This window comes from Homo sapiens, chromosome 10, assembly GCF_000001405.40.
Source record: "Homo sapiens chromosome 10, GRCh38.p14 Primary Assembly".
NCBI classification, from domain to species: domain Eukaryota; kingdom Metazoa; phylum Chordata; class Mammalia; order Primates; family Hominidae; genus Homo; species Homo sapiens.
The window spans coordinates 18,489,323-18,512,220 of NC_000010.11; the positions used below are offsets into that span (position 1 = coordinate 18,489,323).

Here is a 22,898-nt window from a genome sequence, read left to right on the forward strand (position 1 = left end):
GTGGTTGCAGTGAGTTGAGACCTAACCATTGCACCCTAGCCTGGGCAACAAGAGTGAAACTCCATCTCAAAAAAAAAAAAAAAAAAAAAAAATCTTTCACAAATGTTGTCTTAAAATTTAACTTTTTTTTTTTTTCAGAGAAAGGATCTTGCAATGTTGCCCAGGCTAGATTCAAACCCCTGAATTCAAGCCATCCTGTTGCCTCAGCCTCCTGAATAGCTGAGACTACAAGCGTGTGCCACAGTGAATGGCTGGGAGAACTTTTTTGAGCCTCAGTTTCTTCACCTTGGAATAAAACAATTGTAGCTGGGGTTAAATGAAATGTAGCAATCTATGTATAATATACAGCACATTGTTTGTCCCTTGGCCGACATTCCGAAAGTGGTAGCTTTCATCATTTTACAGTAAGTCCTGTCATGTACAAGGTAAAGAAGGACCTAGAAGAAGAGAATATGAATTTCTTAACATCTCTTATCACTTACACATTCCCTTCTCAACAAATATTGATTGGAAACATACTGGAGACACAGTGTTGAACAAGACATGGCCTTGGTGTTTTAGTTTCGGTTTTTTGAGACAGGGTCTCTCTCTGTTGCCCAGGCTGGAGTGCAGTGGCGTGATCATGGCTCACTGCACCCTTGACCTCCTGGGCTCAAGCGATCCTCCCACCTCAGCCTCTTGAGTAGCTGGGACCACAGGTGCACACCACCACAGATGGCTTTTGTTTGTATTTTTGGTAGAGACAGAGTTTCACCATGTTGCCCTGGCTGGTCTCAAACTCCTCGGCTCAAGCAATCCACCTGCCTCTGATTACAGATGTCAGCCACTGCACTCCACCAAACTTGGTGTTTTTAAAGCACTTTTACATTATTGTCTAGATAAAGAGATGCCACTCTTCTACAAATTGGTACTTACGAATTTATTTTGAGGATCTGTTCGGCTTTAGTCCACAAACCAATATGCCACAAACTTTTAATTCTTTATCCCAAAAAGGGGGCTACAATGCATAGATGATTTACCAGTCGCCCTCATGCTATGTAGCATGTGCTCATACGTCATGTCGAAAGTACCAGAAACTGGAAAAGGAATCAATTCCTTTTTTTCTTGGCTTGGAACAGGGAGAAGCAAAAACTGGTAGAAAAGTCTGACATCACCTCTTGGGCCTGACCCTCCATAGCCACAAAACAAGTTGGCCAGGAATCCAGGTAGAATCTGCAAAAGCAGACTCCAGGTCTCACACTGGCCTGGCAATAAAGTCTTTAGGATGTTAATAGAGGTTGAGTGAAAGTGAAATGAAGGACCATATTGTCTCCCAACCAACGTAGTATCCTAATGATTCTGTAGAGCAGGATGAATCTAAATCTAAATGTGGATTTCAATAGAATTCCGCAACAGCCATCCCTGAAGCTCCTTCTACAGGATCCTACCTAGGGCTGTGGGCTATTTCTGTATCTGTGCTTTCTGCTTTTCTTCCCCATCTTACTCTACAGCTATGACCAAGCCTTTCTGATAAACCCGGGCCGGTGGGGGAGGGGGGAGGGTGGAGTTAAAGGGTGGCAGGAAAAGGACAGCTTGAAGGACAACCTATTAACTAGAGTGCACCTCAGTTACATTTGGCCTTGGGATCTGGAATAGCTTCGCTTTCCTCAAGAGCCAGAGCACCTCTTGTGTCCCAGCATGTCCCAGAGCACTGTGTCAGTTTCTTATCACAGTGCCCACTGTTCCTGGTGTTCCCGTGAAACCTCTGGAACACCAAGATTTTTTGGCTTCTTTTTGTTCTTGCTTCTTGGGACTCTTCTTTACCTTAAGGAGAAAGCACAATAAGAAGAAAGAGTAAATGGCCCACTGGCCTCAAACATTCATATCCAAGAATCAGTTCTATTCATCAGTATTTATGATGGACCATGCAGGAGTGAACTAGGAATGAGCTGAACCATGCCCCAGGGCCATGATGCTGGAAAACCATAAAAATCTGGTAGGGCAGGGTGTGGTGGCTCACACCTATAATCTCAGCCCTTTGGGAGGCCAAGGCGGGAGGATCACTTGAGGCCAGGAGTTCAAGACCAGCCTGGGCATCAAAGCGAGACCTCATCTCTTCAAAAAGTAAAAATAAAAATTAGCTGGGCATTGTGGCATGAGGCTGTAGTCCTAGCTACTCATGAGGCTGAGACTGGAGGATTATTTGAGCCTAGGAGGTTGAGGCTACAGTGAGCCATGATTGCACCACTTCGTTCCAGCCTGGGCAACAGAAAGACCCTGTCTGGGGGAAAAACAATCTGGTAGGCTTCCAGACCAAAAGTAACTTTTGTAGTTCGAACAAGGGCAAGAGCCCTGAATGGTAAGAGGAAAGAGTTCCATGTGGCTCTTTACCATTCTGAGATTAAGCCAAAAATGAAGATGTCAACTTAAAACAGGATATATTTGATTAACAAATGGTTTCATGGATAAAAATTCAATGATTCCGTAAGGGATATTCCCTTGGAACTTCAAGTTGGTTAAAAAAAAAAAAAAAAAAAAAAAAAAAAGCCTGAGCGTTTGAGGACTATCAAAGAAAATCAGAATGAAAGAGATATGTATCAGTACATTCTTGCATTGTTACACTGTTATAAAGAAATACCTGAGACTGAGTAGTTTATCAAGAAAAGAGATTTAATTGGCTCACAGTTCTGCAAGCTGTACAGGAATCATGGTGTTGGCATCTGGCTTCTAGGGGAGGCCTCAGGAGACTTACAGTCGTCTAGGAAGGTGAAGGGAAAGCAGGCATATCATACATGGCTGGCACTGGTGCAAGAGAGAGGTGGGAGGTGCCACACATGTTTAGACAACCAGATCTTATGAGAAGTCTTATCATGAGAACAGCACCAAAGGGGAAAATCTACCCCTATGATCCAATCACCTCCTACCAGGCCCCACCTCCCACACTGGGGCTTACAATTCGACATGAGTCTGGCCAGGGACACAAACTCAAACCATATCAAGATAGAACACTGTAAACAAAGTGAATATGGGAAAACCTGGCCGGGCGTGGTGGCTCACACCTGTAATCCCAGCACTTCGGGAAGCCGAGGCAAGCGGATCACCTGAGGTCAACAGTTCAAGACCAGTATGGCCAACACGGCAAAACCCCGTCTCTACTAAAAATACAAAAGTTAGCCGGGTGTGGTGGCATGCGCCTGTAGTCCCAACTACTTGGGAGGCTGAGGCAAGAGAATCACTTGAACCCGGGAGGCAGAGATTGCAGTGCGCCAAGATCGCACCACTTCACTCCAGCCTGAGTGACAGAGCAAGACTCTGTCTCAAAAAAAAAAAAAAAAAAGAAAAAAAGAAAAGAAAAGAAAAAAGAAAATGAGTATGGGAAAACCTTACCATTTGCTCAAGTCCCAGAGAATATGAAAGAATCTATATCACAGAAAAGCTTCTTGACTTTAACAGCGAGTTAGTTTGTGTCGTGCATGTGGCAGATATTAAACTGTGTTGATGAGTTTGGTTTGAGGACGTTTACAGTGGAAGACCACCCAGGAAATGACTTGTCTTGGGCTTTAATGGGGGGTAAATACAGAGAAATATTTACTTAGGTGTAGCATTTACTTTGGTATATAGCAAATGCCTATTAATAAGCACTTACTGTATATAGTTAGCCCTCTTTATCCATGAGTTCCACGTTCACGGATTCAACCAACTGTGGATTGAAAATGTTAAAAAAAAATTACAACAATAAGAATGATAGACTTAAAAAGCAATAGAATTGAATAACTATTTGCATAGCGTTTACCTTGTATTAGGTATTATAACTGCTCTAGAGATAAAGCATACAGAGGATGTGTGCAGTTATGCGCAAATAGTACGCTGTCTTTCTCTTTGTTTGAGATGGAGTCTCGCTCTGTTGCCCAGGCTAGAGTGCAGTGGCACAATCTCGGGTCACTGCAGCCTCCGCCTCCTAGGTTCAAGCAATTCTCCTGCCTCAGCCTCCTGAGTAGCTGGGATTACAGGTCTGGCCACCACGCCTGGCTAATTTTTGTATTTTTAGTAGAGACGTGGTTTCTCCATGTTGGTCAGGCTGGTCTCAAACTCCTGATCTCGTGATCCGCCCACCTCTGCCTCCCAAAGTGCTGGCATTACAGGCGTAAACCACTGCACCCATCCAAGTACACTGTTTTATATCAAGGACTTGAACATCTATAGATTTTGAGGGTCCTGGAAACAATATCACGGCAGTTATCAAGGGATGACTATACACCCAATACTAGCCTGGCCTGGTGCAATCCATTTTCTGTAATCCCGTTACCTTAAAGAATGGCGCTCTTACCCTTGTTTTAGCCATGTGAACTTATGCTTAATGAGACTAAAGAATTTGCCCAGGCCACTCACCTAATAAATGGCAGAATCAACATCCAAATCCAGGTCCACTTAAAATCCCTTGTTCTTGAACCCATATGAATGAAATTAATATGGAGAATACCTTCCACATTGTAGACACACTGCAAGCTGAAGTGAGACCAGGGAATCAGAAGTGACATTGTCACTGGCCTCTTTGGTTTAGCATCCTGGGGTCTTTTATCTTGGCTACATCTGTCCCCCGCATCCCTTGACTGTACTCTAATTTTAGAAATATAGTTCCTGAAGTAAAGATATTGAGGAATAGGTATCTGCTGCTCTTGTTTCCTAGTTCTATAAAGCTAATTCCCATATAAACCACATCTAATGGTAGCATCATTGGTTACAGGAGGTGAGGCAAGAAAGGAGGCACGTTCCAACTTAACATCTTAATCTAAGAGCATAAAATTATTACCTGTGGTCTCTGGAATTATACACCAATTTCCACCACCACTTTAATTTCTTTTTCCTTTTTCAGTCCCCTCTTTCTGCTACTCAGATGATTGAAAAGTGATAAAAAGTTGGTAGAAGTCATAAGATTTTCTATGGGGTCTTCTGTCGAGTCAGGCATTAAAAATGTGTCTTACATTGATGAAAAACTATATGTGATGCTTAAACTCTGTATCTTCCAAGGAATAAAAGAAACATCTGGGCTGGGTGCGGTGGCTCACGCCTGTAATCCCAGCACTTTGGGAGGCCGAGGTGGGTGGATCACAAGGTCAGGAGATCGAGACCATCCTGGCTAACACGGTGAAACCCCATCTCTACTAAAAATACAAAAAAAAATTAGCCGGGCATGGTGGCGGGCACCTGTAGTCCCAGCTACTCGGGAGGCTGAGGCAGGAGAATGGCATGAACCCAGGAGGCGGAGTTTGCAGTGAGCCGAGATCGTGCCATTGCACTCCAGCCTGGGTGACAGAGTGAGACTCCGTCTCAAAAAAAAAAAAAAAAAAGAAAAGAAAAGAAACATCTGAAAGATGTGAAAGACCATGCTACAATTTTTTTTTTTAAATCTTGGATCTATACTTTTGTGATCAGAAACTTTTCTGAATAATGGATGGATCTACTAATGGAAATTGTATTTCTAGTGGTAAAACTGAGTTTGATGAAGACTACATCCTTAGGAGGCTGAGGGGGGAGGATTACTTGAGGCCAGGAGTTTGAGGCCAGCCTGGGCAACACAGCAATACCCTGTCTCTACAAAGTTTTTTTAAAAAAAATAAAATGTAAAAACTTTAAAATATTTTTAAGATTACATCTCACTAAAAAGTGCACCTTGCTTTAGTGCTGGGTACAGTATAAAACAGTGTGGCCCATTTGGACAGTAGTTTAGAATAAAAATTTAAAAGTCTTAATAACTCATGTCTGACACATGCTACCTCTGGGACTCCATCCTAAGAAAATAATTCTAAGTAGAAAGAGGCTTTTGTACAAACATTTTTCAAAGCAGAATATTTTTCATACTGAATAATGTTGTGAACCTAAGTATCAAAGAAGGGTGAATGGTGAATGGTTGAGGGAGTCTTTTTTTTTTTTTTTAGATAGAGTCTCACTCTATCACCCAGGCTGGAGTGCAGTGGTGCAATGATCTTTGCTCACTGCAGCCTCTGCCTCCCGGGTTCAAGTGATTCTCCTGTCTCAGCCTCCTGAGTAGCTGGGATTACAGTCATGTGCCACCATGCCTGGCTAATTTTGTATTTTTAGTAGAGATGGGGTTTCTCCATATTGGTCAGGCTGGTCTAGAACTCCCAATCTCAGGTGATCCTCCCACCTTGGCCTCCCAAAGTGCTGCGATTACTGGCATGAGCCATCACGCCCGGCCAAAATATATTTTTAAAAGTATAAAAACTGTGTGTGTGTGTGTGTGTGTGTGTGTGTGTGTGTGTGTGTGTGTGTATAAGAGATGAGGTCTCACTTTGTTGCCCAGGCTGGTCTCAAACTCCTGGGCTCAAGTGATGCTCCCACCATGCCCTCCCAAAGTGTTGGGATTTACAGGCATGAGCCACGGCACCTGGCCTTTTAAAAAAATATATATTTTTTGCTTTTTCATTTTTTTATGTTTAATATTGGATGAAATGCAATATGTTATGATTGTAGCTCTGGAAGTAAACTTTATATACTTAAGAACATTTCTAGAAAAAATAGAAACATCATACTCTCAAGGATTGTGTTTCAGTTGTACAGGTAAATAAATGTACACATTTATTTACGTGTATTTTTAATTCCCATAATTCCACACAAGAAGCAGGATCCCTGGTATCACTAAAAATTAAAGTGGATGTCATTCGAGACCAGCCTGGCCAATATGGTGAAACTCCATCTCTACTAAAAATACAAAAATTAGCCAGGCATGATGGCGGGTGCCTGTAGTCCCAGCTACTTGGGAGGCTAGGGTAGAAGAATCGCTTGAACCTGGAAGGCAGAGGTTGCAGTGAGCTGGGATCGTGCCACTGCACTCCAGCCTGGGCATCACAGTGAGACTCAGTCTCAAAAAAAAAAAAAAAAAAAAATTACAGTGAATGTCAATAACTGGCTTCCAAATATTTAACTCCACCTCATGTCTATTGTGCCTATATCCAGAATTTGGTTTTCCTTTCCCAATCTGCAAATTGTGACTAGACCATAGTAACATCAGGGATCTTAAGTCAGTCTTAACCCAGACAAGAGGCAGGTAGAACAAATTAACTTCGGAAAATTTGGAAATGAAAATGGGTTCTCTCTACTCCAACTCCCCTGTGTCTTCTCTGGCAAGTCCAGGTAGAGAGCGCATTGAATAGGGAGAAACTGCTCCCTTCTCCTGAGAGGTCGAAATAATTTTTTTAAAGAATAGGTTAAGCCGGACGCGGTGGCTCATGCCTATAATCCCAGCACTTTGGGAGGCCAAGGCAGGCAGATCACCTGAGGTCAGGAGTTCAAGACCAGCCTGACCAATATGGTGAAACGCCATCTCTACTAAAAATACAAAAAATTAGCTGGGCGTGGTGGCGGGTGCCTGTAATCCCAGCAACTCGGGAGGCTGAGGCAGGAGAACCGCTTGAATGCAGGAGGCGGAGGTTGCAATGAGCCGAGATCATGCCATTGCTCTCCAGCTTGGGCAACAAGAGCGAAACTCCGCCTCAAAAAAAAAAAAAAAAAAAAGGAAAAAAAGAAAAAAAAAGTAGGTTAAAAGGAATATCACATGAAAAACTATGTTACTTTGTATATATCATGTATATAAGAAATACATAGAAGAGGCCAGGCATGGTGTCTCGTACCTGTAATCCCAGCACTTTGGGAGGCTGAGGCGGGCAGATCACCCAAGGTCAGGGGTTCGAGACCAGCTTGGCCAACACAGTGAAACCCTGTCTCTTCTAAAAATACAAAAAATTAGCTGGGCGTGGTGGCTCACGCCTATAATCCAAGCTACTCGGGAGGCTGAAGCAGGAGAATCAATTGAACTCCAGAGGAGGAGGTTGCAGTGAGCTGAAATTGCACCACTGCACTCCAGCCTGGGCTACAAAGTAAGACTCTGTAAAAAAAAAAAAAAAAGAAAAGAAGAAAAAAAGAAAGAAAGAAATATATAGAAGCAATCCACTTGCCCATAATGGGAAAGAAATACAATACCACTTAGAACAATACCATTTTCACCATTTCTGAGCTTACCTGTTTCTTTCATCTTGTGGATAAATAGGTATTAGCTAAAGAGAGAATAAATGCTTATCTGTAAATTCTTTTGGTTTGATTTGTTTTTTTCTTTTTTTTGAGACAGGGACTGACTTTGTCCCCCGGGCTGGAGTGCAGTCGCGTGATCATGGCTCACTGCAGCATAGACCCCCTGGGCTTAAGTGATCCTCTTGCCTTAGCCTCCCAAGTTGTTGGGAGTATAGGTGCCTGCCACCACACCTAGCCTAATTTTTGTTTTTGATTTTTAGTGAGAAGAGGTCTTGCTATGTTGCCCAGGCTGATCTTGAACTCCTAGGGTCAAGCAATCCTCTTGCCTTGGCCTCACAAAATGCTGGGATTACAGGCATGAGCCACCACTCCTGGCCCTTTATCTGTAAAATTTCAAAGCATCAAATAAGGAAAGAGATCTTAATTAATATCTTTAGTAGCTGAACAAACTCAAGTAGGAGAAATAATAGAAGAAAAAGTCATTGCTTTCATAATTCGTTGCAGCCATGAATGAGAGTTGCTATAGTTGTAGCATATTTTCCCCGGCTCTTTTCTCATTCAATGATTGTACCTTTCGGAATTATGTCTTTAATGATTAATTAATTAAAGTAGATGTTTGGGGTAGCAAGGCAGTGACTAAGTCCTTTCCACTGAAACGGAAGAACTGGGGATTTTATTCATGTTTGTGTTTCCTGATTTACAGTTGCTACAAGCGCCAATGTTGAAAACACATATTTCCGTGGCTCTTCTTCACCTTCATTACTTGTAGTGCTTTCAAAGAGAACAATGGCCTTTTTCTAGTTCAGAAATGGGTGTTATGTAGCTCACAGCTGGGAGATTTCAAGTGTTTTGAATACGAACAAGCTGTTTTGTGATAAAGAACCAGTGCAGAGGGGAAACCAACAATGATTACAGTAGTTATTCAGTATGTCTTTGTGTTTGAGGGAAAAAGGAGGGACAGTGTTGTTTTGCTCTTATTTTTTTCCCTCTTCCTTTTCCCACTTTAGACAAAGCCCGTTGCATTTGCGGTTCGGACAAATGTCAGCTACAGTGCGGCCCATGAAGATGATGTTCCAGTGCCTGGCATGGCCATCTCATTCGAAGCAAAAGATTTTCTGCATGTTAAGGAAGTAAGGAGAATAATTTCATTTTCTAACAGCATGATGTTTCACCTTGACATACCATTTCTTATTTCCTATTCATATGCCGTTTCTGTGAAGTAGCATTGCACATCGCTGCAGTTGTATAACACACATAACTAAATCAATGGCTCTCAACCTCTGCTAATATAAATATACCTTTTAAAGTGGAAAGAAGTCACAGGCCTCTTGCAATAACTTCAGCGCTCCCTGGGGCTCTGTGGCCCAGAAATTGGGAACTGCTAGAGTAGATGATCCTTTTTTATGCTTAACCTATACTTTTTTTTAATGTTTCACCTTGACTAGGTGTAGTTTTTCCTGATGCCTGAAGTCTAGGCATCTGGGGAGGGTTTAATAATAATATCTAGAATTCATGACTCTTCTCTCTGCTGACAGTGTCTCAATACAAACTACTGATGACCTTTTTCCTCCTTAAATGCTAAATTTCTGCAGTGGGTGAGAGAATGGTAAGAATTGACACCAATAAGGCAACAAAGAGGTATCAGGAAAAGTCCTTTTCCTACATGCTAAATGTCTCCACCTTCTAGTGAGCAATGACACAACCTGCAAATTGGAAACTTTCATCCTTAATTAAGGTTTGTTTGGAGTCAACATTTATCAAATGCCTGCCTTGTGGAGCACTGTGTAAACTGACCAGAAATTTCCCCTGTAGAATATTCTCAGTGTGTGATCCTGAGGTTTTTCTTGGACCTGAAGGAATTTATACTTGGAGCTCTTCCATCTAGGGTATATATAATATGTCATAGGAAGTATGTGTAAATCGAAACTCTTCACTGCACTAAAGGCTGTCAGCAAAGGAGTTGATAACTGCCGATTAAAAGAACCTAGGGCTGGGCCCGGTGGCTCATGCCTGTAATCCCAACACTTTGGGAGGCCAAGGTGGGCGGATCACAAGGTCAGGAGATGAAGACCATCCTGGCCAACATGGTGAACCCCGTCTCCACTAAAAATACAAAAATTATCTGGGTGTAGTGGCACATGCCTGTAATCTCAGCTACTCGAGAGGCTGAGGCAGAAGAATAGCTTGAACCAGCGAGTCGGAGGTTGCAGTGAGCCGAGATTGCGCCACTGCACCCGAGCCTGGCGACAGAGTGAGATTCTGTCTCAAAGAAAAAAAAAAAAAAAAAAAAAAGAACCTAGAAGCCTGGGTACTATGGCTCATGCCTGTAATCCAAGCACTAAGAACCTAGAAGCCTGGGTACTATGGCTCATGCTTCCAAGCATTTTGGAAGGCCGAGGAAGGCAGATCTCTTGAGCCCAGGAGACCAGCCTGGGCAACAGGGTAAAACCCCATCTCTAAAAAAAAAAAAAAAAAAAAAATTAACCTGGTGTGGTAGCATACACCGGTAGTCCTAGCTACTCAGGAGGCCAGTGGATTGATTGAGCCTGGAAATTCAAGACAGGAGTGAGCCAGGATCATGTCACTGCACTCCAGCCTGGGCGACAGAGCAAGACCCTGTCTTGATTAAAAATAGAAGAGCCTAGAGAATTTAGAGCCTACCATTTTGGTAACCTCTGAAAAGAGATGTCAAATACTGGCTAGGTGGGAACAATAGAAAAAGTTATCAGCTGTGCCTAGAATCTCACTTTACACCAGGAAGTTAGATTATTATGAGGTCTCTTCTTGATGATTGATGCTGAAAGGGGGATCTTTCCACCATGAAAGGAAAAGAAAAACAGAATGTATATTCTTCTTCGACGTGTTCAAGGACAGATTTATTCAATCGAGGAAAAAGAAGGCAAATCACAAAGATTTAAGATACATATTCCACCTGCAAGACATAAATTGTCAACATCACACAAGTAGAGAAATCATCTGTGAACATCGCATTGTATATTTATAAAACTGTTTGCACAAAGGTAAATTGTCCTGTGACATGAAATATTTAAGGTACACTTCAATATTTATCTCTTTCTCTCAATAATTCCAATTGGTCTGATTATATAAGGGGAAGATTTCTGTAACAGTACTTCCTAAAGATCTCTTGGTAGGATGGGCTGTTATTCTTTGAACCCAGAGAGCTTATCCCTACTCATGGTGACAGCAGCTGCTGCAAGGGAATTCAGCCTGGTCCTACGGCAGCACCAGGACAGACAAGGAACGCAGAGCCTTTGATAGATTGCTGAGGACGCTAAATGCATTTCTTACATGTGAAACCCATGAGCCGAAGGGTTTCTTGAATGATAATATTTAAGGCATAGTTAATGGTCATTGCCATATTTCTCTCGACTGAAAATAGTGTGGAAGAACAAGGATTTGACCTTCTGTGCACTGATTTTTAATGCTTTTGATTTTGTGTTTAGAAATTTAACAATGACTGGTGGATAGGGCGATTGGTAAAAGAAGGCTGTGAAATCGGATTCATTCCAAGCCCAGTCAAACTAGAAAACATGAGGCTGCAGCATGAACAGAGAGCCAAGCAAGGGAAATTCTACTCCAGGTATGAGACAGATGTCAAGTGTTTGCATAAAACTTAGATTATACCACTATCTGTGTACTGTTGTCTGCTGTATTCTGTATCCTTTATTATGTATTAACAAGGAGGCTGGTAATATGGTTTATTGATAGCATCACAAATCTTGCATTTTCCTGCATTTAAAAAACTTCAGTCCAGCACCTGATTTTCACCCTATTTGGGAAAGTGTCAAATTATTATCATTAATGAAAAGAGCTAAGGTCATAGAGTATTAAATTCAGGCTCCAGGGCAGAGGAAAATCTGAAACCTTAATCATTTACTGAAAAATAGTCTGGCACATCATAGCCCTGGTGACTAATCCCACTGTCTGTAGCTGCCTGGTATGGCTGGGAGATGTTTGAGAGATGACATTCTCAGACATCATCAGGCAGTGGCAGCTCTTGTCATCCGTTAGTTTCATTTTCACCTGAGAAACTCAATTTTCAGTTCTACCCACTGTTAAGCACTTAAAGAGAAGCGAAGTATGAAACAAGTTAAAACTGCCTGTGCAGATGGCAATTAGATGAGTTATGTAAGAAGCTGGGGCTGAATAATCCCTCCTAGGATTTGTGAGGTTGTCTGTCCCTCTCTGAAAGAATCACTAGAAAGGCTTCTCGTAGATGTACTGAATTTTCCATGGAATCGTATGCAGACGGGTCTAAGGACGCAGCATGCCTCTCCCAATGTGAAAGGATGGGACATGGGCAAGGCCTTTCTTAAATACGAATCGCTGGATTTCTCTTTTCTCCATCTTACATCTTATTTGTTTATCTAAGATGCAAATCCCTTTGTCAGTGATAATACTTTACTGTGAGCAAGTATTTTTTTCAAGCGTCAGCAGATGAGTGAAACAGAATATGCTTTGTGGTTTGGAACACCCATCCTCATTAACTGGCTTTTCATAATTGTCAAGTTCATTTAGTTCAGACGGATTCCTCTGTGTTTTGAGACCTCCACCCCAGAATTGACTTTCATTAATTCCTGGGTTATTGAGAGCACTCAGATGGTGAGATGCATTCAGTCATATAAAAGTAGAGGCATGCATAAAAAAGAACAAAGATTGGCCGGGCATGGTGGCTCATGCCTGTAATCCCAGCACTGGGAGGCCGAGGCAGACAGATCACCTGAGGTCAGGAGTTCAAGACGAGCCTGGCCAACATGGTGAAACCCCATCTCTACTAAAAATCCAAAAATTAGCTGGGCATGGTGGCGGGAGCCTGTAATCCTAGCTACTCGGGAGGCTGAGGCAGGAGAATTACTTGAATCTGGGAGGTGGAAGTTGCAGTGAGCCCAGATTCGTGCCACTGCATTCCAGCCTGGGCGACAGAGTGAGACTCTATCTCAAAAAAAAAAGAACAAGATCATGTCTTTTGCAGCAACATGGATGGAGCCGGAGGCCATTATCCCAAGCAAACTAACACAGGAATAGAAAACCAAATACGGGGGCCACGTGCGGTGGCTCACACCTGTAATCCCAGCACTTTGGGAGGCTGAGGCGGGCATATCACAAGGTTAAGAGATTGAGACCATCCTGGGCAACATTGTGAAACCCCGTCTCTACTAAAAAAAAAAAAAAATTAGCTGGGTATGGTGGTGTGTGCCTATAGTCCCAGCTACTTGAGAAGCTGAGGCAGAGAATCACTTCGAACCCGGGAGGCAGAGGTTGAAGTGAGCCAAGATCGCACCATTGCACTCCAGCCTGGCGACAGAGCAAGACTCCATCTCAAAAAAAAAAAAAAAAAAAAAAAAAAAAAAAAAAACCGCATGTTTTTACTTATAAGTGAGAGCTAAACATTGAGAACATACACCAGGAAGGGAACATAAGACACTGGGGACTACTTGAGGGTGGAGGATGGGAGGAGGGTGAGGATCAGAAAAACCACCTCCTGGGGCATTATGTTCATTATCTGGGTGACAAAATAATCTGTACACCAAACCCCTGTGACATGCAGTTTACCTGTGTAACAAACCTGGACATGTACCCCGAAACTAAAAGTAAAAAAAGAAAAAAAAGTTGCCTGTAAAGATAACCCTCTTAGGATTAAAATACTTTACTCTGAATTAAGTTATCATTATCATTAGCAGCAGTAAATTATTCATTAGACCAACATACATATAATGCATATTTTGATATGCAATATTAAATATTAAACTTTTGTTGAAAATGCATTTCTTAATGAGAAAAAAAAGTAAAGACATGCAGATGAACAGCGCATGTGCATTCTGCCTGCAGGGTGTTTGAAGACCCGATAGGATTCTTTCAATCCTTAATGTTCCATTGGCCTTATTTTGTGTTTTCCTACCCTCTGTATTGAAAATGGTATCATAATACTAGCTAATGAAACCTTATGGCCAAGCACGGTGGCTCATGCCTGTAATCCCAGCACTTTGGGAGGCCAAAGCAGGTGGATCGCTTGAGGCCAGGAGTTCGAGACCAGCCTGGTCAATATGGTGAAACCCTGTCTCTACCAAAAGTATGAAACTAGCTGGGTGTGGTGGTGCACACCTGTAACCCCAGCTACTTGGGAGCCTGAGGTATGAGAATCACTTCAACTTGGAAGGCGGAGGTTGCAGTGAGCCGAGATCATGTTCCAACTTGGGCGTCAGTGAAACTCTGTCTGAAAAAACAAACAAAAAAAAGAACCACCTTATATGGAAACATTTTGTTTTAATAGGGTGTAGACATTGCTCCTGTCAACTAGGTAGTATATCGTTTGTTGAGGTTTGAAGTTATCCCAGCTGGGGGTGTTTTGTTTTTAGTTAGGACAATTCAGCATTTTTCAGAATTTTCTTGTCAAATGACTTGAGAAAGGGGTTCCAAGATGAAATAAATTAAGGATAGTTCTAGGTAATAGAAAGTTACTTCAGGATTTTTTTATAGCCTTTTAATGTCATCATGTACACTGTGAATCTCTGGTGGAATGGGAATTTTTTTAAGTATAGTATTTACTAAAATTGCTTTCTCATAAAAACTCCCCTGGCTCATGTCTTAGGAATAGTGTTTTGTAGAATACATTTTGGAAAATTTGGGATGGATTTTTGCAGAGGCAGGCTTGTGTGTCTTTCTTTGCCTCTTCATATAGAAACTGAGAAATGAGAACAACTTCAAAGGGAGTAGAAATCTTTCCCAAAATTGTTTGAGAAATGTAGTCTCCTGTGTCTCCCAAATGGGCTTGCCTAGGCTAACATTAGTGCTCCACTCATCTTTGTAAGGACCTGTGGGAGCAGTGGGTATTAGATCTTACAGGTCACAGATGAGAAAACAGGTTAAGAGAAGTTAGGGAACTTGATCGAGGTCGCAGAGCTAGTAAGCGTCAGAACCAAGATGGTAGCCTGACCTCCACGCTGTACAGACTTCCATGCTGCACTGCAGATTAAGGAGCCAGGTCTTGCCTGGCACAGCAAGCCCAGGACAGATGGTTATTGCCATCTGTTATTATTTACTTTATTAGATATGTTGTTTTGCTCTTGCATTTTTTTCCCTTAGGACTCTGAGTTATCCGTATTTGAGGGAATGTAACATCTCAGAACTTACTCCAGAGAACTAGATTACCTTTTCTTACAGCCATATATCTTTTCCTTTGATTTTCTTCATTTTATTTTGGCCCAAGATTTTGCCTAAGTATGTGAAAATACTTTTACTTGCTTTCATAGGTTTTTACATTTCTCTCCTTTTGTGTGTGTGTGTGCGTGTGTGTGAGACAGAGCCTCGCTCTGTCACCCAGGCTGGAGTGCAGTGGCGCAGTCTCGACTCACTGCAACCTCCGCCTCCCCGGTTCAAGCGATTCTCCTGCTTCAGCCTCCCAAGTAGCTGGGACTACAGGCATGCACCACCACGCCCAGCTAATTTTTGTATTTTTAGTAGAGACAGGGTTTCACTGTGTTGGCCAGGCTGGTCTCAAACTCCCAACCTTAGGTGATCCACCCACCTTGGCCTACCAGAGTGTTGGGATTACAGGCGTGAGCCACCGTGCCCGGCCTCTCCTAACATTTTAAATGTAGTTTTGTTTTGAGGACATAACCAGAATCCGGCAGTCTTTAAAAACTCTGATACAGAAATTATAAAAATTGACAGAACTCAATGGAAATGGAATTGGGGTACCGTTCAAGAACTTGGCATTTTAATAGAATTAAAAGTCAAGGACAAATCTGCATCCTGGTCATTGTCACCATTTGCAGCATTTGTCACAATTTTACATAAATAATATTTTGGCTGTTACTAAAATTCAAAGGGAATATAAAACCCATGAACTTAAACTGAAATTAGACTTAATACTTCAGAAAAAAAAAAAAAACTTCTGGGGAAAAAAATGTTTTGGTCTTGGTAATAGGTCCTTGTATAACTGCCAGAAACTGCTTCTATAGATATCACTTGTCATTAATTTCACATACTGTCTGATGCCCTTATTAAATGTATTTGAGTATCTCTTAAGAACCTTAAAAAGATATACAGCCCTCCTGCTAATTGCCTAATAAAGTTTTTGATGTTTATGCATTAAAATGCTAGAACAGTAGCAATAACATTCAGCCTGTTACTGATACTTTAATAAAACTTTTATTTCCATATTAATATTTACGTAAGTAAATATTGCCCTTTGATGCATAAACACTGTAGCAAATTCTTTCAACTAGACCCTGGCTCGGCCATAATAATAAACATTAGGCAGTGAGATCATTTTGCCCAAATGTAAAATGTTCTTCTTATCTTCATCTGAGAGAGGGGTCATTCGGTAACACGTTATTTAGCATGCTAGTAGGCTGGTGAAAAACACAAATGCTGTTGTTCTAATATTAACTCCAATGTTTCTGAGACACTGCAGTATATCATATCAAACTTTCAAATTTGGTAGTTCGGAAATGTATGATCTTCAAATTATTCCTAAATTAACCACGTTTCATTCTCCACGTGAGTCACGCTTGAGAAGTATTCTGGGTACTATCTGATGGCTACATCATATCATATTCTGTTTAGTCATGTTTCTTCGTGTGTCCGTTAGTGGTTGGCAAGTTTTCATATGGCTCTGTTGTTCTTTGATAGATTGCTCATGAAAGCGTGAGTGCTTTCAATCTTAGTGTACTATTAATAAAATAAGCCTAAAACAGAGGAGCTGAAACCAAACAAGAAGGAAATATTAATCTTGGGTGTTAGCCTTAAGGTTCTGTGCATCGCCTCTGAGGGTCTCTAAAATAAAAAGCAAAATAAATCTGTGCTATTTCACTGTCTGTGATCTGGGCAAGTAACTTGGGGGCTGCAGAAATTACACTGGTTCTCTTCCATTCTCTCAGGTCCTTTTAAAATTAAACCTTGAATTTGAAATCAGAGACCATCATGTGGCTATTTCAAGTACTCCAGGAATCTCCACTGGGAAATATTGTTTTCCTCCTTAAATGAAAGATAAATTTAAAGTTGAATAAAACCATAATGAATTATGTTTACTGAATAATATAAATGTTTGAGGATGCGAAATAAGTGTCAGATTTAATAGAAATTTTTGCTTTACTCCAGTAAATCAGGAGGAAATTCATCATCCAGTTTGGGTGACATAGTACCTAGTTCCAGAAAATCAACACCTCCATCATCTGGTAAGTAGGTGATAAATGCTGAATAATACATACTGCATTTCATGCTTTCCCCAGCTCTATCCAGTTTTGTGAATTTACGTATACACTGAATCACTATGTTAACCCTACAGATGTTAAAAGGAATCAGAAGTGAGCATGCCCTTTTGGAGTTACAAACAATATGGGGAAATGTTTTTTTCTGGCTGGAAAAAGAAGTATGTCAAAGTGTTTACATTGCTGTAGATGATCAAAGTGATTAATGTATTTATTTATTTATTTATTTATTTTTTTGAGACAGAGTCTCACTCTATTGCCCACGCTGGAGTGCAGTGGCATGATCGCAGCTCACTGCGCCTCTGCCTCCAGGGCTCAAGTGATCCCCCCACCTCCGCTTCCCAAGTAGCTGGGACTACAGGTGCACACCACCATGCCCGGCTAATTTTTGTATTTTTTGTAGAGATGGAGTTTCACCATGTTGCCCAGGCTGGTCTCGAACTCCTGAGTTCAAGCGATCCACCTGCCTTAGGCTCCCAAAGTGCTGGGTTTACAGATGTAAGCCACTGCACCCAGCCATATTAACCTTTAATCCCTAGTTCCTGCGATGGTGCTTGTCATGGGCAGTAAATGGGTGAATACTTGCCAACAACCATAGCACAATGTGAGATATAACCTTAACATTAAACAGAAGGATAAAAACTTTAGAAAGGTAAGGAACAGAGGGTAAAGTGAAGATAGAGGATTGGCCTGTTGTGGGCTCTACCAGAAAAGTTCTGTGGAAGACACAGACAAGAAGTATAGAAAAAAGATGAAAATGTGTGTGGGAACAGTAACTACTGTTTTCTTTCCAAAGCAGTGGGTTCATCCTAATGGTTGCTGGATAAAATAAAGCACACCTACTTAAATTTGAATTTCAGATAAACAATAATTTACTAGTTTAAGTACATATTGCATGGGGCATACTTACACTAAAAATGTATGGAACATACTTATGCTAAAACATTGTTTTAAATTCAAATTTAACTGCATTTATATTTGCTAAATCTGGGAACTCTCCTATTCTGTGTAGAACATGGAATTCTATATAGACAGGAGACTAATGATTTGAATTGCAAAAAAAAGCACATGATCAGTATCTTAGTTTGCTAAGAGAATTGTTATTGGGAATCAGAGTAAGACTGTAAAGGTTGACTGCCAGGGTGTTTCAGCAAAATGATACTGTGTGTGATTTCTAGAAAGCTGGAAATGGGAAGAGATAAAAAACAGAGAGTTGTACAACTATGCAGAAATCAAAGAACTAGTCACACAGTGACTGATGTGCTTTAAGGACAGGATTTCTCTATTACTAATAATCAGCTTCATTCCTGAATGGTGGTGGCCTTTAGAGACCAATCAAGGACTTCTTAGCAAAAACTATAGGATTTTTTTTTTTTAAGAGAAGGGGTTTCACTATGTTGCCCAGGCTGTTCTTGAAACTCCTGGGTTCAAGGGATCCTCCTCCTCAGCCTCCCAAACTGTTGGGATGACAGGCATGAGCCACCATGCCCAGCCATTGGCAAACTAAGATACTGATCATGGGCTTTTTTTGCAATTCAAACCATTGTTCTGTTTATATAGAATTCCAAGTTCTACACAGAATATAGGACTTTCAAGTGAGCAAAATCTGAGCACAATAAATGAATTGCTTTAGGAAGCAAATTAATTTCAAAAACTATCTACTTATAACTTGAAGCAAGCAATTCTAAGATGCTCAAAATTAAGTAAAATAGTATGCATGAAATGAAAATGAAAGGCCCTGTAGGTATTATGTGAAACTTATACCTTCCCTTGATAATTACGGAGCCCCTGAATCCACAGAGGAAGGGAGGCCTATCCTGTTCCTTCTCAAATGTGTGAAGTTGCAGGGATTCCTATATAAACCTTACACTCTTATATATCTCAAAGATGATTTCAGTGATTTCTAGGGACTGCTACTAGGCTCTTAAAGTGGAAAAAGACTATGTCACCTTGCGATAAAGCAGCAGTTCTGCCTGCAAATGTCAGCCTCACTTCTTTCTATATACCAGAAAAATTCTTCCATTCCCTCCAGCCATATTGTAGCCCTCCAGTGGTTTTGGCAACACAGATGCTCCCCAACTTATGATAGAGTTACACTTCACTAAACCCATCATAAATAGAAAATATGGTAACTCAAAATGTACTTAACACGTGGACAGACCCAGTAAAAAGTCTGACGTCAAACCATCGTAAAGTTCAGACCTTGACTTATGATAAGGTTATGTCCTGAAAAATTTGTAATAAACTTGCACAATCTTAAGTTGAACCAGTGTATGTCAAGGACCGTCTGTATAGTGAAAGGAGGTGCTGCATTTTGAAGAACAAGTTAGTATACATGTAAAATAACATTCCATTTTGTAGGCAGATGTTTGACATTACTAAAAGTAAAGTTCCATGAAGAGTGTAATATTTAAAAAGGTGATTTAAATGTTCACCAAGGTTTTGTAGAGATACACCAACTTTCAAGTGACTTTTCTGGTGACTGAGTCACTTGGAGCTATAACCAACTACAAAATGTATAATAAGCATATTAGGACTCTGAGACAATTTTTATATCAATAGCTCAACTGATTTAAAGGAAAACTTCAGAAAGCTCGAAAGAGAAGTTCTCCCAATCCACCTCCAGGCACAACTGCTCCAACTATCAAGTGTGGATGGGTCTGTAATGATCATTTTCATCGTTTCCAAAGGTCTCATCTATTATTCTCCTCACTCATTGCCAGACCAAAGAATATAAGTATCTGCCTAAAGTATATATGCTTGGATGCTGTCAAGAACTTGGAAAATTTCCCACTTGACATCTGGGCATTGGTGTCATAGCCAGTTGCAGAATACATACATCGCACCCACACACACGTGTGTACATATGTGTCAAGCCCAAGCTCTGCTTAACTTGACCCAAACCTTTAACACCAAAACTTAAATTTCAAAAAATTGTTCTCGGTGCCATGGTCACGCCTGTAATCCCAGCACTTTGGGAGGCTGAGGCAGGAGGATCACTTGAGCCCAGGAGTTCAAGACCAGCCTGGACAATGTAAGTGAGACCCCGTTTCTAAAAAATTAGCTGGGTATGGTGGTGTGCACCTATAGTCCCAGCTACTTGGGAGGCTGAGGTAGGAGGTTCACTCGAGTCCAGGAGGTTGAGGCTGCACTGAGCCATGATTATGTCACTGCACTCCAGCCTGGGCCACAGAGGGAGACCCTGTCTCAAATAAATAAATAAACAAACAAACAGAAAAAATGTTCCCAAGGCTCTCTATCACTAATAATAATATATGCATGCTAGTGAGGAAGAATGAGACTTTTCAAATATATGAAAGCAGTTCTTTCCAAGTAAATACTAATGTTTGCTAAAGCATGGAAATATAAGTATGAAATTTAAAAAGAGTAACATTTCTCATTAAAAGGAGAACCATCTGAGTCTAATAAAATACATGTAGCTGAACAGATTTGAAAATGCTTCTTAACTGCCTTGGTAAGTTTCTTTAATATGTTTTGAAAGTGACCACATGTTTCAGAATTCTACGTATTTCAAAATGAACTCAGATGTTTTTAGACCTGAGTTAACCAAATGTCAGAACTAGTACATTATAGAAAGTTCTCAATTTGGGATATCCAGCCCTCATGTCCAGATACAGGTAAATTTCAAACCTGACTCAGGCTATGTGTGTGGAAAGCCAAACACCTGGGCAACGTTGCAGCCAAAGATGTATACGTTTCCACTCTTTCTTTGTTTTTTTTTGAGATGGAGTCTCACTGTCACCCAGGCTGGAGTGCAGTGGCACAATCTCAGCTCACTGAAGCCTCCATCTCCCAGGTTCAAGTGATTCTCCCACCTCAGCGTCCCAAGTAGCTGGGATTACAGGCACCGGCCACCACACCTGGCTAATCTTTGTATTGTTAGTAGAGACAGGATTTTACCATGTTGGCCAGGTTGGCCTCGAATTCCTGACCTCAAGTGATCCACCCACCATGGCTTCCCAAACTGCTGGGATTACAGGCATGAGCCACCATGCCCAGCCTCACTCTTATTTTAAAAAACAAAAATACAACTGATGATCACAGCAGGCTAGATTCAATGGGCAAATCACAAAATTCAACTCATGAACTTGACTGTCCAAGGGTCCTGTAAATTCTGACATCCAACTGGTTATCTTCATTTTAGGAGAGCCCTCAAAGGGTACTATCCCTTGAATGTGGTCTTTATGAGCCCAATAAAAGATGAGAAAGATAAAACCTGTGGGAATTTACCACCAGCAAGGAAACTCTTGATTTTGGTTAACATGTATTGTAGGAATAATGAATTCCTGACGCAGATTTTGTCCTTCATATCCAGGAAAGCGCTGACAACATGCTGCTTGAGTTGAGATTCAAGGAAAAACATTTCTGAAGAGTTTTCTGAGACTCTTGCCTGGCTTATGCCATTCAATAAGCCCCATAAGGAAACTTTCCTATATGAGCAAAGGATTAGCTATAGGATGGTATAAAAGTCAGCACTGGATAAAGCCCTAGGCACATTTTATGTTTTCTCTACATACCACATGTTAAACCTTTTAGCACATCAGTATGCATAGATGGGGCAAAGAGGAAGACATACTTACTATATTAGGTCTACGTAATTAGGACTGAATTAATTCCATTATTACCTTTTTTTTGATAGAAAATCATACCTCCTGCATTATGCAAGCAATAGCTGATTATTTGTAATAGTGTACAAACAATGGCAGGTATTCACTCCATCACAGGTTTCCTACCTCACCAAATGAAAAGGAATAATTAAATAAGAGAGCCTAGTTTTCAAAAGGCTGCTTCATTTAATATTCATAACAACTTCAAAACTGAAAAATAATGTAATGCCTGTCAGATGATCTTCCATCCTTTGAAAAGGTTAGAAGAAGCTGCTGTGAGCAGTTCAGCTTGTGTATCCCAGGGAATGGTAGCTGTATTGTAACACCAAGTTGTCTGTTATTTCAAACTGGTAATTTGTTCCTTCCTTCAATCTAAATGTACTGTGGTTTTTGTTAGAGAGCTAACATGTATAATATGATGCTTTCCTGCAGTGAGTAAATTTTTTTTCTTCTCCTTGACTGATTCTTAACCGTAGAATAATTTTCTAGCTAGTCCAGCTCTATGATGTCATCCTGACTCCTGACATCAAGGACATGACCCCATTGAGGATGTGAAGGGAACTGAAAGAGGGCACCCAGATTGAGAAGGGACTTCGCCTGGATGGGCAGTGTGGTATAGGGACGGTTACAGACTCATTTAGGTGGGCACTGTGGTATACGGAGGGTTATAGACTCACTTACGCAGGAGGAGTAGGTCTGAATCCTGACTGCCAAGTTTTTGCCAAGAACAAGTCCCTTAAATTTTGAGTTTTTTAATCTTAAAAATAAGAGCCTTGAAGTTGATCTTTATTTCCATCTCTGACTCTGCAGTTGATAAAATTCTGTAGCTATTTCAATTGCATGTGGAAGGATTTTGTAAAATTTGAAGTGAGATTATGCATCTTTTTTTCTTGTAACACTTTTTAAGTACTATATTTTCAGGTGGAACAATGGGAAAAGTAAATCATGTCAAGCAACAAAGCTAAACCTTTCATTTTACAGATGAGGAAACCAGTGGCATATCCTCTTGGGT

General features: G+C 41.0%; 1 protein-coding gene across 15 annotated transcripts in view; it reads left to right on the forward strand.

Moving 5' to 3' along the window:
* The window catches only part of CACNB2 (calcium voltage-gated channel auxiliary subunit beta 2), a 403,134-nt gene that overhangs the window by 348,899 nt on the left and 31,337 nt on the right, over positions 1 to 22,898 (forward strand). For 14 of the 15 annotated variants that reach the window (NM_201571.4, NM_001167945.2, NM_201572.4 and 11 more), the window contains 3 exons: positions 9,033 to 9,155; positions 11,490 to 11,626; positions 17,149 to 17,225. In NM_201571.4, the coding sequence (NP_963865.2) occupies positions 9,033 to 9,155; positions 11,490 to 11,626; positions 17,149 to 17,225 (337 nt within the window). Of the gene's footprint in view, positions 1 to 9,032; positions 9,156 to 11,489; positions 11,627 to 17,148; positions 17,226 to 22,898 lie in introns of those variants that run through there. The other variant, XM_005252591.4, reaches the window with a different exon arrangement.